The 13,354-nt window shown below is 41.3% G+C and overlaps 4 annotated features.

Annotated features, from left to right (window-relative positions):
• Positions 7,595-7,889: a silencer, noted in NCBI's record as "tiled region #10011; HepG2 Repressive DNase matched - State 4:PromP". NCBI's record gives its function as "represses a minimal TATA promoter and a strong SV40 promoter by Sharpr-MPRA in HepG2 cells {active_cell/tissue: HepG2}" and the evidence as "EXISTENCE:reporter gene assay evidence [ECO:0000049][PMID:27701403]".
• Positions 7,595-7,975: a biological region, named in NCBI's record as "Sharpr-MPRA regulatory region 10011".
• Positions 7,846-7,975: an enhancer, noted in NCBI's record as "active region_22988". NCBI's record gives its function as "activates an Ori minimal core promoter by ATAC-STARR-seq in GM12878 lymphoblastoid cells {active_cell/tissue: GM12878}" and the evidence as "EXISTENCE:reporter gene assay evidence [ECO:0000049][PMID:35858748]".
• Positions 9,362-9,631: an enhancer, noted in NCBI's record as "active region_22987". NCBI's record gives its function as "activates an Ori minimal core promoter by ATAC-STARR-seq in GM12878 lymphoblastoid cells {active_cell/tissue: GM12878}" and the evidence as "EXISTENCE:reporter gene assay evidence [ECO:0000049][PMID:35858748]".

The following is a 13,354-nucleotide window of genomic DNA, read 5'->3' as shown; positions in this document are numbered from 1 at the left end:
ACTTTCCTACATTTTTCTGTCTTCCTCTGAGCCCTCCAAACTGTTTCAACCTCTGCCTGTTACCCAGTTCCAAAGCCGCTTCCGCATCTTCGTGTGTCTTTACAGCAGTGCCCCACTCTACTGGTACCAATTTACTCTGTTAGTCTGTTCTCATGCTGCTAATAAAGACATACCCCAGACTGGGTAATTATAAAGGAAAGAGGTTTAATTGACTCACAGTTCCACGTGGCTGGAGAGGCCTCACAATCATGGCAGAAGGTGAATGAAAAGCAAAATCACATCTTACAAATCGGCAGGCAAGAGAGAGTTTGTTCATGGGAAATCCCACTTATAAAACCATCAGATCTCGTGAGACTTATTCACTACCAGGAGAACAGTATGGGGGAAACTGCTCCTGTGATTCAATTATCTCCCACCAAGTCCCTTCCACGACATGTGGAAATTATGGGAGCTACAATTCAAGATGAGATTTGTGTGGGGACACAGTCAAACCATATCAGGGCTGCTATGGGTCAGGCACTGTTCTTGGTGCTGCAAACAAAATAGACAAGGTCCCTGCATTTATAGATCTTATATTCTAGAGAGAAAAGAGTTGATAAACTACAAATAAATAATTCCAGATAACTGTAAGTGCTAAGGGAAGATATTTATTAATTTAACAGATGTCATTATTTTCTAGGCACTTTCTTAGTATTTTACAAATATTAACTTATCTGATTTCATAACGACCTAAAAAGTAGATTTTATAATTATCCTCATTTTCAGATGAGAAACCCTTCCACAAAAAGGTTAAATAACTGCTAGCATAGAGTGAAGTGAGAATTCAAACCCCAGTGATTTTTGCCTAAAACTGGATAATTCTATTCAAAAGAGACTGGAAGCAGAGACAGGGAGGGGAGGTACAAATCTACAGAAGGTATCCTGGAAAGGCTTACAGGGAGGTGAATTTTGAGCTGAGACCTGAATGTCAACAAGGAACCAGTCAAGCAAGCATTAGGACAGACCCTTCTGGGCAGAATGAAAAGCACATGCAAAAGCTCTGTGGGGAAAACACCTTGACTTCCTGGTACATGAGGAGGTCAAAGAAGTGGGCAAGGACCAGATTGTGTGGAGCCTTGTAGGCAATAGTTACAAGTATGGATTTTCTTCTAATTATAATAGAAATCCCTTGAAAAGCCAGGGAGTAAAATAATCTGATATGTAAAACCACAAATTTCATTACATATACTTATAAGAATGTATGTGCCTAGAGAAAAGCCCAGGGAGGGGCATACCAACTGATAACGGTGGTTAGTTCTGGAGATATGTTCGGGATCATGACAGTGATGAAAGAGACTTTCACTTTATCTTTTTTTGTTCACATGAAAATGTACTTGTGTAATTATACAAATGAATAATTTTAAAAAAACAATTTAAGCTCCTTAAAATACCATGTATTGCATAGCGTAAAACCTACTCAATTACAAGCAGATGCACCATGCTAAAGAAAACACAATATTGGGCAGCTTGTGTAGCCTGAGTTGTATGATGTGTATCTCCCTTAGAGAAACCACAAGCAGCCATGTGTATTGCATAATAAGCTAATCAGCTTAGGAAGCAGAGAATTTGGGAGTACTGAGGAGAAGCATGCTAAATAAAGCTGCATGCTGAGGCTGAGAAAATGCAATTTAGGAATAAGAACTTAGCTGGTTTCTCTAACTGGAAAGCCGTGGATGATCTGTGCGTTGTATAAACTATGAAAACCACTTTCAGTGTAAAGTTGAGCTACTGCCAGCATTTGTCTCTCTTTACAGAATGTACCCAGTGAAATGTTAATTAGGAGTAAAACTGGCTTACCTCATTCACCTATTCCTTTGACACTTAAGCCACTTGGGATTTACCACCCACTTTCACATTTTGTTACGTTCAGTCTTCCAACTTCCTGTTCACAACCCCTCTTTTATCACTTAGTTTATTTCCTGCTGTCTTGCGCTCCACCTCAACTGCTTTTATTCTGCTTGGGGACTTCAGAATCAATGTGCATTGGACCCACTGAATTGGACCCATCCAATACTTTGTATCCTAGTTAATGCTCTCATTTCCAGTGACTTTTTAAATTTAACAACTGCTAGCACTCTCGCCCATACTCACAACCCTGAATGTGTTCATTACCAAGAACCTTACCACTTCTGAAATCTCATGTCCGAATGTCCTGCCTTTCTAGCACAAGTGCTCCCACTGCAGAAGTCTCCAGCACCATGACCTCCAGTGCATCCTTGGCGCTCCTAATACCCAGACCCTTTTCTGTCTTACTTTCTTGTCTTGCTTAGACTCTATGACCCACCATTACAATCTACAGCCTTGCTTCTCTTTTCCTTCTATCATGCTTTCCTAGAAAACTTTGCAGTTTTCCAGTTTAAAATGTTTTCTAACTTCTAACATTTCTTTCTTGATGCATGAGTTATTTACAAGTTATCTTCTTAAAATCAAACAAGGAAATTTCCTAGTCATCTTTTTGTCAATGATTTTGAGCTTAATGCATTATTATCAAAAAACATTCCCTGATTTCAAGCCTTTTAAATATAGGGAAGCCGGCTTTATGATCCACCATACTGTCAATTTTAACAGGGATTCCATGTATACTTGAAAAGAATGGGTATTTGCAGTTTGGGGCTCAGGGTTCCATATGTGGTCATTAGGTCAAGTTTGTAGATCATATTGTTCAAGTCTTCTGTATCTTTATGGATATTTTATCTGCTTGCACTATCAGTTACTGACAGAAATATGTTTAAAATACCCCACTATGATTCAGGGTTTTTCTAAATCTCTTGTTATTCTTTCCATTTTTTTGCTTTATACGTATTTGAAGGTTTGCTATTGTCCTGTGATCCATTCTATACTATAGAAGACCAGACCCCAGGAAACTATCTACAACTTCCCGAGGATCATGAGGACCTTAGCAGGTTTACTTTTTTAAATTCTAGAGAAATTGTCTGTTTAGTGTCTCGCTGGAATACAATCACTATGGCCAAGGAGTGTCTTGGCAAGCCAATGCTGAGTCATAAGCTAATTCTTTTTTTTTTTTTTTTTTTTTTTTGAGACGGAATCTCACTCTGTCGCCCAGGCTGGAGTGCAGTGGTGCAATCTCAGCTCACTGCAAGCTCCGCTTCTCAGGTTCACATCATTCTCCTGCCTCAGCCTCCCGAGTAGCTGGAACTACAGGCACCCACCACCACACCTGGCTAATTTTTTGTATTTTTAGTAGAGACAGGGTTTCACTGTGTTAGCCAGGATGGTCTTGATCTCCTGACCTCATGATCCACCCGCCTCAGCCTCCCAAAGTTCTGGGAATACAGGCGTGAGCCACCCCATCTGGCCGTCATAAGCTAATTCTTTAGGGCAAGATCTAAGACTGTCAGCTCCTACAAAAACGTGGAGAAATTCCTCAAAAAAAAAGTGGACTACTGTTTTGCACAGACAATACATTTGCACTGCAACTAGCTTTTTACAATTGTAAATAGACAGCATGACAACTCTTTGGAGTTAGCATTAGCAACTCAGATTCAAAGCAGTAGCCCATCCACTGTAGACCGTGGGAGGGGCCTAAGTATTTAACATAGATGAGCAAAGAATATAGAATCAGAAAATGCAAGAAAATTTCTGGAAAGAGTGATACAAGTTACTTTTACTTAAAAGTCACACCTCAGTTTGAATTTCAACACCTTCCCTATCTATATAAACGTGTATAAATTATTGACCTACTCTAATCCCCTTCTGAAAGATATAATTTAAGTGCCTAGTAAATACTAACTGCTCAATAAAGGTTAATTTCCTACATAAGGAGGGAGAGTTTACTCTAGAACACCACAGTGATTATAACTTATATTCATAGATGATTGGATATATTTATGCTTAATTATGCATAGAGTTCATAGTATAAACTATCGGTTTAGTCTTTCTCATCTAAATCTCAGTTTTAAAGAATCTCTTCAACATTTGGATATGAGAGGTGGCTTCACAGGTATATTAGTTATTATGCTGTTTAACAAATCACTCCAAAACCTAGACACTTACATCACAAACACTCCTTTATTATCTCTGTTTATGTGGGTTGGAAATTTGGGCATAGCTTAGCCAGATACCTAAAGCTTGCAGTCTCTCAAAATGTGTCTCACAAGGCAATCAAGGTGTCCACTTCAACTGCAATCATTTCAAGACTCATCTGGGGGAGGACCCACTCTGAGTTCACTTCTGTGGCAATAGGCAGACCCCGGGTCTTTTCTGGCTGTTGGCTGGAGACATCAGTTCCTTGCCACCTGGACCACTCCATAAGGCCACTCACAGCCTGCAACTGGCAACTCAAGGTGAGAAAATGAGAGAGCAAGAGAAGACTCCCCCCAAAAGAAGCCACCATCTTAAAAAAAAAGACTTTATGTTTTAGAGCAGTTTTAGGTTCATAGCAAAATTGAGCAGAAAGTACAGAGTTCCCATATACACTCTGTTCCCCCAACACACACATAAATTCCCCCACTATCAACACCCTATCAGAGGGGTACATTTGTTACAATCAGTGAACCTACACTGGCACATCATTATCACTCAAAGTCTGTGGTTTACATAACCCCTAATGTAAACCCAGAAACCCAGAAACCCATCAGTGTACATTCTATGGGTTTTGACAAATGTGTAATGACATATATCCATCATTATAGTATCACACAAACTTTTTCATTGCCCTAAAATTCTTCTTTGCCTATTCATTCCTCCCTCTCCCCAAGCCCCTGACAACCATTGATCTTTTTATTTTATCCATAGGTTTTCCTTTCCAGAATGTCATATAGTTAAAATCATACAGTATGTTGCCTTTTTCAGATGGGCTTTCTTCACTTAGTAATATGAATTTCAGTTTCTTCCATGCCTTTTCATGGAAGTGCATTGACTCCATTGGCTCTCCTAATGCCAGCCTCTTTTCTGTCTTACTTTCTCCTCTTGCTTAGATTCTATGATCCACCATTACAATCCACAACCTTGCTTCTCCTTTCCTTCTATCATTCCCTCCTGGTTTCCAAAGAAAACTTTGAAGTTTTCCAGTTTAAAATGTTCTCTAACTTCTTTTTTTCCCCCTTTGGCAGTTTTTTTTTTAGAAAATTATTATTATACTTTAAGTTCTAGGGTACATGTGCACAACATGCAGGTTTGATACATAGGTACACATGTGCCATGTTGGTTTGCTGCACCCATTAACTCATCGTTTATGTTAGGTATTTCTTCTAATGCTATCCCTTCCCCAGTTCCGCACCCCACAACAGGCCCCGGTGTGTGATGTTCCCCACCATGTGTCCAAGTGATCTCATTGTTCAATTCCCACCTATGAGTGAGAACACATGGTGTTCGGTTTTCTGTCCTCGTGATAGTTTGCTGAGTATCGGGGGAATCTGCCCCCAATATTTCAATGTAGTTTCTTTCTATTTTCCATAAGTGTCAGCTGGCTGAGAAATAAAGAGAAAGAGTACAAAGAGAGGAATTTTATAGCTGGGTCCCTGGGGGTGACGTCACATATCGGTAGGACCGTGATGCCCAACTGAGCCTCAAACCAGCAAGTTTTTTATTAAGCGTTTCGAAAGGGGAGGGGGTGTAAGAACAGGGAGTAGATCACATGCTTCAAAGGGCAAAAAGCAGAACAAAGATCACAAGGCAAAAGGCAAAAGCAGAACTACTGATAAGGGTCTATGTTCAGCAGTGCACGTATTGTTTTAATAAACATCTTAAAGAACAGAAAAGAGGGTTCGAGAGCAGAGAACTGGTCTGACCACAAATTTACCAGGGCAGGGTTTTTCCCCACCCTAGTAAGCCTGAGGGTACTGAAGGAGACCAGGGCATATCTCAGTCCTTATCTCAACCACATAAGACAGACATTCCCAGAGCAGCCGTTTATAAACCTCCCCCCAGGAATGCATTCCTTTCCCAGGGTATTAATAATATTAATATTCCTTGCTAGGAAAAGAATTTAGTGATATCTTCCCTACTTGCATGTCCGTTTATAGGCTCTCTGCAAGAAGAAAAATATGGCTCTTTTTGCCCGACCCTGCAGGCAGTCAGACCTTATGGTTGTCTTCCTTTGTTCCCTAAAAATCGCTGTTATTCTGCTCTTTTTCAAAGTGTGCTGATTTCATATTGTTCAAACACACGTTTTACAATCGATTTGTACAGTTAACACAATTATCACAGTGGTCCTGAGGTGACGTACATCCTCAGCTTACAAAGATAACAAGATTAAGAGATTAAAGTAAGACAAGCATAAGAAATTATAAAAGTATTATTTGGGAACTGATAAATGTCCATGAAATCTTCACAACTTATGTTCCTCTGCCGCAGCTCCAGCCAGTCCCTCCATTCGGGGTCCCTGACTTCCCGCAGCAGCTGAGAATGATGGTTTCCAGCTTCTAACATTTCTTTCTTGATGTGTGAGCTATTTACAAGTTTGCTTCCTAATATCAAGCAAGGAAATTTCCTAGTAATCTTTTTATTAATGATTTTGAGTGTAATGCATTATCATCAAAGAACATTCCCTGATTTCAAGCCTTTTAAATATAGGGAAACTGGCTTTATGATCCACAATACTGTCAATTTTAACAGCGAAGATGAAGCTCTTTTTTTTTTAAGTGTTGAATAATGATCCATTCTGTGGATGTGCCACATCAGTAGAAGGACATCTTGGTTGCTTCCATTTTTGGCAAGCCATAGTCTTTTTGTAACCTAAGGAAATGATATCCCATAACTTTTGCAATATTCTCTTCATTTGAAGCAAGTCAATAAGTCCACCCCATGCTCAAAGGGGAGAGATTGTACAAGGGCATGGATACCAAGAGGGAAAGATTGTGGGGACAATTGTAGAGGCTGCCCACCCTACCAGGAAAGACAAATGTTTACAGTACCTTGACCACGCCCAAGCAGCCAGGCCAGTTAAAGAATGCCCTGTACAGAGTCCATACCTGTGAAAAAAGTATAGTATTTTTGTTTTAATGTCGCATAATTTACCAAAGTACTGAAAACTTTAAGCCACACTGCAGATGTACTTGGCCCTATTGAGAATAATCCTAAAGCAATGCATAGCACTTTAAAAATTGCTGCCAGCTCATTTTCCTTGAAAAACAGAATCTATTTCTAGTACATTTTCTTGGAGAGCTGCCCATCCTATTCAAGTTTTCAAAAAAGGGACCTTTCAATTAAATTGTCATTTGTTCCACTCCTGCCTGTGCTGCAGAGGAGAGCATGTTACAGAGAATACAATATGCAATAAGTAAAATAATTCCAAAAATATTACAAACATACATTACATCGCTGAGATGTATGTATGAATTCAGATCCTACGTTTTAATTCTTGTAGGGAAATTTTATATTATTTACCCTCAGCTGAAGTAAAAGAGTAAAATTCTTTTGCTTTCTTTCCTTCCCAAGTCGTATAATCCCTGTACTAGTCCAATATTTGGTGAAAAAGGTGTTTGTGAAGCTATATATTGGCAGGAACAATGGATCTACGTGCTAATTTACGACTTTTTACGACTGAATTCTTTAACTCTCTGAGAAGTGTGTCCAGATGCACATAGACCCTCTTTGCTTTGTGTCCTTAGATTATTACATCCAAACTAATTATATTCTCACGTTAAACAACAGAGTGATTGATGCAAACATGGTCTGTGATAGAAAACACTGGCACCATATGGCCACAAGAGGGAGTAAAGAGCCACAGAAACATTAGCGTCTTCAAGGCTAGGCTCTACCATTCCCGAGGAAATAGAGAACTTTTGTTGTTTCTATTTCCCCCACTCTCTTTTTCCTTCTAATAATTCAGAGACTTTCTTCTGACCAAAGGCAGAGCTAGTATCTACAGATCTCGCTGTTACGATGAGGCAAAGTTAGCCCGGAGCAGCTTCTTCTCCCGCTGCTGTCCTGGCTGACTTCCCCAAGGAACACTTTCCAATACCAAACTACCAGCAGTGGGCTCCTGTCTCCGTGCTGAGGGCACCCTCCGGTGCCTGTCTCTGCTCTCCGATTTGCCACCAGAGCCCAAATAGCTGGTTTATGGGAAGACTTGTTATGTTGAACGCTTCAATCGCTTCTTAAATTGATTTATCATGGCACTGAAGCAATTAGATGATATACAGACCAATGAATCCCTTGTAAAGGCTACAGTAAGCACTCAGTAAGAGGAGAAAAATCAGATTGAGAGCCTGGGGAAACATACTTTCCTAGGAATGACATAAATGGAAATCCCTCAATTACACTCCCCATCATTCCTGAGTCCTTGGCACCGGGCGGGGGGTAGGGGGTGGGGGGACGTTCTAAAACTCAGCCCCATAAATGGTGGCATGTTATATACCAAATTACCATACGGTTGTTTGGGGATTTGTTTTTTGTTGTTGCTATTAGTTCAGCTTGAACAAAGGAGTGATGAATAGAGCTGAGTAAGATATTTAGTCCCTCAGCAGAATTACTCAGAAGCTGCAGGCAGTATGTCAGGCAAAAAATACAGGGAGGAGTCAACACAATGGGAGATAAGTTATGACTGAGACAATAGAAATACAATTCCTTGAATCCTGGCTGTCGCTTATTCATGCACATGGATTCATCAGAACAGGTTGCCAAACTACAAGGGAAAAAACTGAAAATAAATTGCCAAATGTTTGCCACAGAGTTTATTTTCCTATTACATTTCTTTGATAAACTCTTCTCCAAAGGATTCAAAGAGTTGTGCTGAATGGAAATTTCTTTTAAACACTGCCAGAGATGAAGTGAAGTCTCACCTTGATGGTGGGAGAAAAGATGGGAGAAGGAAAAAACAATAACCAAGATGCCTTAAAGCAGAGAGGACTGGAGAAAGAGCAATGGCTAAATTCTTCAGTGTGCAAACATGCAGCTGGCTACAGGAAGGAGGGTGCAGCCAAGGCTCTTCACTACAGAGATCTTGAAAGCTTGGAGGAGCATATTGCAATTTTGGAGACTCATCACATTCCGCATCTTGGAATCCTCCAGCAGAGTTCAGATCCAGACTCCTCAAACCCGCCAGATGCCCCTCCCTAACACCCTTCTGCTCTTAACACTGGTCCCTCCTACACAATGCTTATTTATTATGGAGAAATCTGTGCCTCCAGCTCACCATAAACTTGTATTCCTGCCATGGTATATGTTCCTTCCCAGCTTGAGACCTGCTTGAATCAATATCATTTTACACCTGGGCCCCAAAGCTCAGGGACTTCTGAGAAGCAGGCCAGCCTTGTACTCTGGCTGAGAAGTCTCTGTGTCAAGAAGACTCATCTCAGAAGTCTCAGCAAAAGAGGAGGAAGTCCCGGTGGCCTGTCATTATCCATCTCTGATCCAATCACTGCAGTCAAGGGAATGTGAAGCTTTGATGGTCAAACATGGTCACATGCCACCCTTAGAGCTGGAAATCAGCTCCACTGGAACCCCCAGCCTTGAGAGTAGAAGCGTAGACTCCCTGAGAAGGTTGGAGGCTATTTTAAGTAGAGTAAGTGGATGCTGGGCTGTCAGGAAGCAAGACAAATCCACCTCAATCACTTTTCAGCCCTTCCCTCTCTGTAGTCTAGCACAGCCCAGGTGACTATGGAACCTTGTGTATTTGAATAGAGAGCAAATGGAGCTCTTGGTGTTGTGAAGTGTGGTGGCCCTGACTCTCAGCAATCATGTGCTGGTTGACCTGTGATAAGGATCATTAGTATTCATTTGCTCAGTACTGTTTCAGTCTCTGCCCATATCTTTCATTAATTTCTATAGTCACCAAGTCACATACACACAAATCTCAAGGAGACAAGCCAAGACAATGACAACATTTGATGACAACAACACAGATCTCAGATAATAACTGTTAAGGTGATAAGGGAAACTTCAGGAATCCCTGGGGTGATAGAAGATGTTTATTAGCACTGTCTTTAATTCATCGTAGTACAAGGCATGTTATCAATACAAAATTTACATGAAGTAAGTCATTTGTTTCAGGTGTTTACCTGAAACATATTGAGTTCCCTCTTTGAGCATTGCAATAAAGTAATTACCTTTTGCTCCCATCTGGTTCTTATATTAACTACATATAATCAAATCAATTATTAAGTGGTTCATCAGAAAGAAGCAATTGTCCTTCCTAATGAGACATCGTCCCCAAACTTGCAGAGCAACAAGCAGAAATAATGAAAATATAACAATTCTTCCCAGGAACAACATCCCTTTTCCTCAAAGTGATGCAGTTCTGTCCTGTCCTCTGCAGCTTGCCCCTGGAAAATCCCACTGTCAGCCTTGTGAGTGATTCTGGGAGTACTGACTCCTGGGAACTAGATCTCCTGATGAGCTCAGACTTTCAGTGAACTACTGTGAGCACAGGGGCCACGAGCAGGGGCTTTGGACTCAAATCCTGCTAGACTTGAGTGTGCACAGGGAAGGGGACGTCAGTGTGCACAGTGGCTACAAGAACAGGCACTGGATTCAAACCAGCTGCCACCATTTACCAGCAGGTGTCCTTCAACAAGTCCTTTCTTTCTGACCCAAGTTTTCTCTTCTGTAAAATGATGGTAAGAGTTCTCACCTTCTGGAGTTGTGACAGAGACAAGACAGTGCACAAGAGTGTTTAGCATACTGCCAGGCACATGGTACTAAATGAGGGTTAGTCTCAATTAGGCTTTTTGATTTGTGTTTTGTTGGGTTTTTTTTTTTCATTTGTGACCAAGAGGCAAAACTTGGCCTGACTCCTTCCTTCCATCAGGAGAAGGTCTGTCACTGACAACTTAACTGAGCAAGGGAAACACCATTGGATAACCTGGCCCCTCACTGAGACTAAGAAACAACCAGTATTTAGGTTTCCCTTTGCCTACCACCTTAGAAGAGCTAGAAAACAAATCTGTGAATCTAAGGAATGTTTCAAAAATCCAGAATCCTCTTTCTAGCGAGTTGGTGCTCCCAGTTTACATTTGACTCTAATTCTGACTCAAAGATGTGATATGATCCATCATCACTCAATCCAAAAAGGAAAAATTTAGAGCATTATTAATAGCGATAGCTTCTATTTATTGAGGATGTACTTGACATCTTGTTCTGAATGTTTAATATCAATTATCTCCTTTAATGATCCTTTGAGATAGGTCATTTTACAGATGAAGAAACAGAGGCTCAAATAAATGAGTAACTTTCCCAAGCTCCAGCTATTAATACAAGGCTTGTTTTCTTAACCTGAGGACACTTTGCAGACTTACAAAATATTTTAAATTAATGATCACAAATGCTTAAAAATAACAAATCTTGATTTGAATCCATACATTCTCATGATACTTCTGGATAGACTTTAATTCTGAGTTCTGGCTGGTCCGTCTCCACTGCCCATGCCAGGTGCTCTCTAGTCTGTTTCTAGGCAAAGTGTTCATGGACTAGAGGTTTCTTAGGTTCCCTCTCTCTTCTCTAAAAGAGCAAGAACTGACTGGGTGCAGTGGCTCACGCCTGTAATCCCAGCACTTTGGGAAGCCAAGGCGGGCAGACCACGAGGTCAGGAGATCGAGACCATCCTGGATAAAATGGGGAAACCCTGTCTCTACTAAAAATACAAAAAATTAGCTGGTCATGGTGGCACGTGCCTATAGTCCCAGCTACTCGGTAGGCTGAGGCAGGAGAATCGCTTGAACCCAGGAGGTGGAGGTTGCAGTGAGCCGAGATCGTGCCACTGTACTCCAGCCTGGGCGACAGAGCGAGACTCTGTCTCAAAAAAAAAAAAAAAAAAAGCAAGAACTTTCCACAGGGAATGCAAAATCAACCTAGCAATATCCTGTATCAATAAAGAGACTTTACTCAAATAGGCTTAAGTGAAACAAAAGAACCAAAATGTATTGTCTCTTGAACCTGAAGAAGCCCAGGGGAAGGCTGGCTGCAGGTGTGGCTGAAAGAGCAGCTCAGAGGACAGCATCAGGACTCCCTTTCTGCCCCTCTCTTGGCTCTGCCTTCCAGATTCACTTTTTTCTCAGGCTGGCTGTTTTTTCATGGGAGCACATTGATTGCAAGAATCTCCAGGTTCCTAACCTCATAGTTTCAAGTCCAGTGGGAAGAGAGAGTGTTTTCTTATATGTATCTCAAGCAGAAGTCCTAGGTGCTCTACAGTCTATCCATTATGTGTTCACCCCTGCATCAATCCCTGTGGTGAAAGGAATGAAATGCTGTGATTGGCCAGATCCAGCTCATGTGCCCAACTGTTATCAGAGGTGACATTGGCACATGGATAGAGCGTTGGGGAAGGGTGATAGCTCTAAAGAAAAACCGGAATGGGTTTGTTTTGTTTTGTTTTTTGAGACGGAGTCTTACTCTGTCACCCAGGCTGGAGTGCAGTGGCGAGATCTTGGCTCACTGCAACCTCCGCCTCCCGGGTTCAAGCGATTCTCGTGTCTCAGCCTCCCAAGTAACTGGGACTACAAACATGAGCCACCATGCCTGGCTAATTTTTTGTATTTTTAGCAGAGGCAGGGTTTCGCCATGTTGGCTAGGCTGGTCTCGAACTCCTGACCTCAGGTGATCTGCCCCCTTGGCCTCCCAAAGTGCTGGGATTACAGGTGTGAGCCACCATGCCCACCCCAGGATGTTTTGAACAGTAGAACAAGGAATGGATACTGAATAGTAAATGTAAACAACCACAAACATACATGACTATAGATCCAAATGCCCTATAAGTCTAGGGATTCAACCATATATATTTTTAACTAAACTCCAGGCATGCAGAAGAACAATAATATATAACATTAGAAATCAGGACAGTCCCTAAAATGCAGGCCAGATAACCAATGCCAACATATGGGCAGAGGTCCTATGTTCTGGCAAAGTACGGATTTAATCAGTTAATATAAAGCACCTTTCACTCAGCAATTATTATGCCAGAATTAATATGTGAATCCAGAGTAATGTAACAAGTGCCAATCATCCCTCTCCCCTCCCACCCTGCTACCTCCACACACTTGGTCAAGACCTTGGAAATTCCAAGATTTAAACAGAGGAGCCATAATAGAGACCAAAGGGGGCAGAGGTAAGCAGATAAGTTTCAGCTTGTCCTAAAGAGCTAACAGAGAAGAAAGACTTTTGTCAGATGGTGCTCATATGGCTGGTTTACATATTGCGTACATGGAATTTATGTCAAAGCTACAGCCAGAGACAAGGGTGACGCAGAAGGAACAGACCAATCACCTTTCTTGGAGCTGGAATCCACCAAGAACATGATCTCAGCCAGACATCAGGGAATGAGAAGGGTCATTGTTGAAGGGAGCCAGCAGAATGTTAAGACGGAATTTGGTTTTGGTCGGATGAAACTGTTAGCACAGCCCTGGTCCCCTTGGTTAAG

The sequence above is a fragment of the Homo sapiens genome, chromosome 5 (assembly GCF_000001405.40).
Source record: "Homo sapiens chromosome 5, GRCh38.p14 Primary Assembly".
Lineage (NCBI taxonomy): Eukaryota > Metazoa > Chordata > Mammalia > Primates > Hominidae > Homo > Homo sapiens.
Note: the sequence above shows the minus strand (reverse complement) of the source record. Positions and strands in the feature narration are given on the sequence as shown.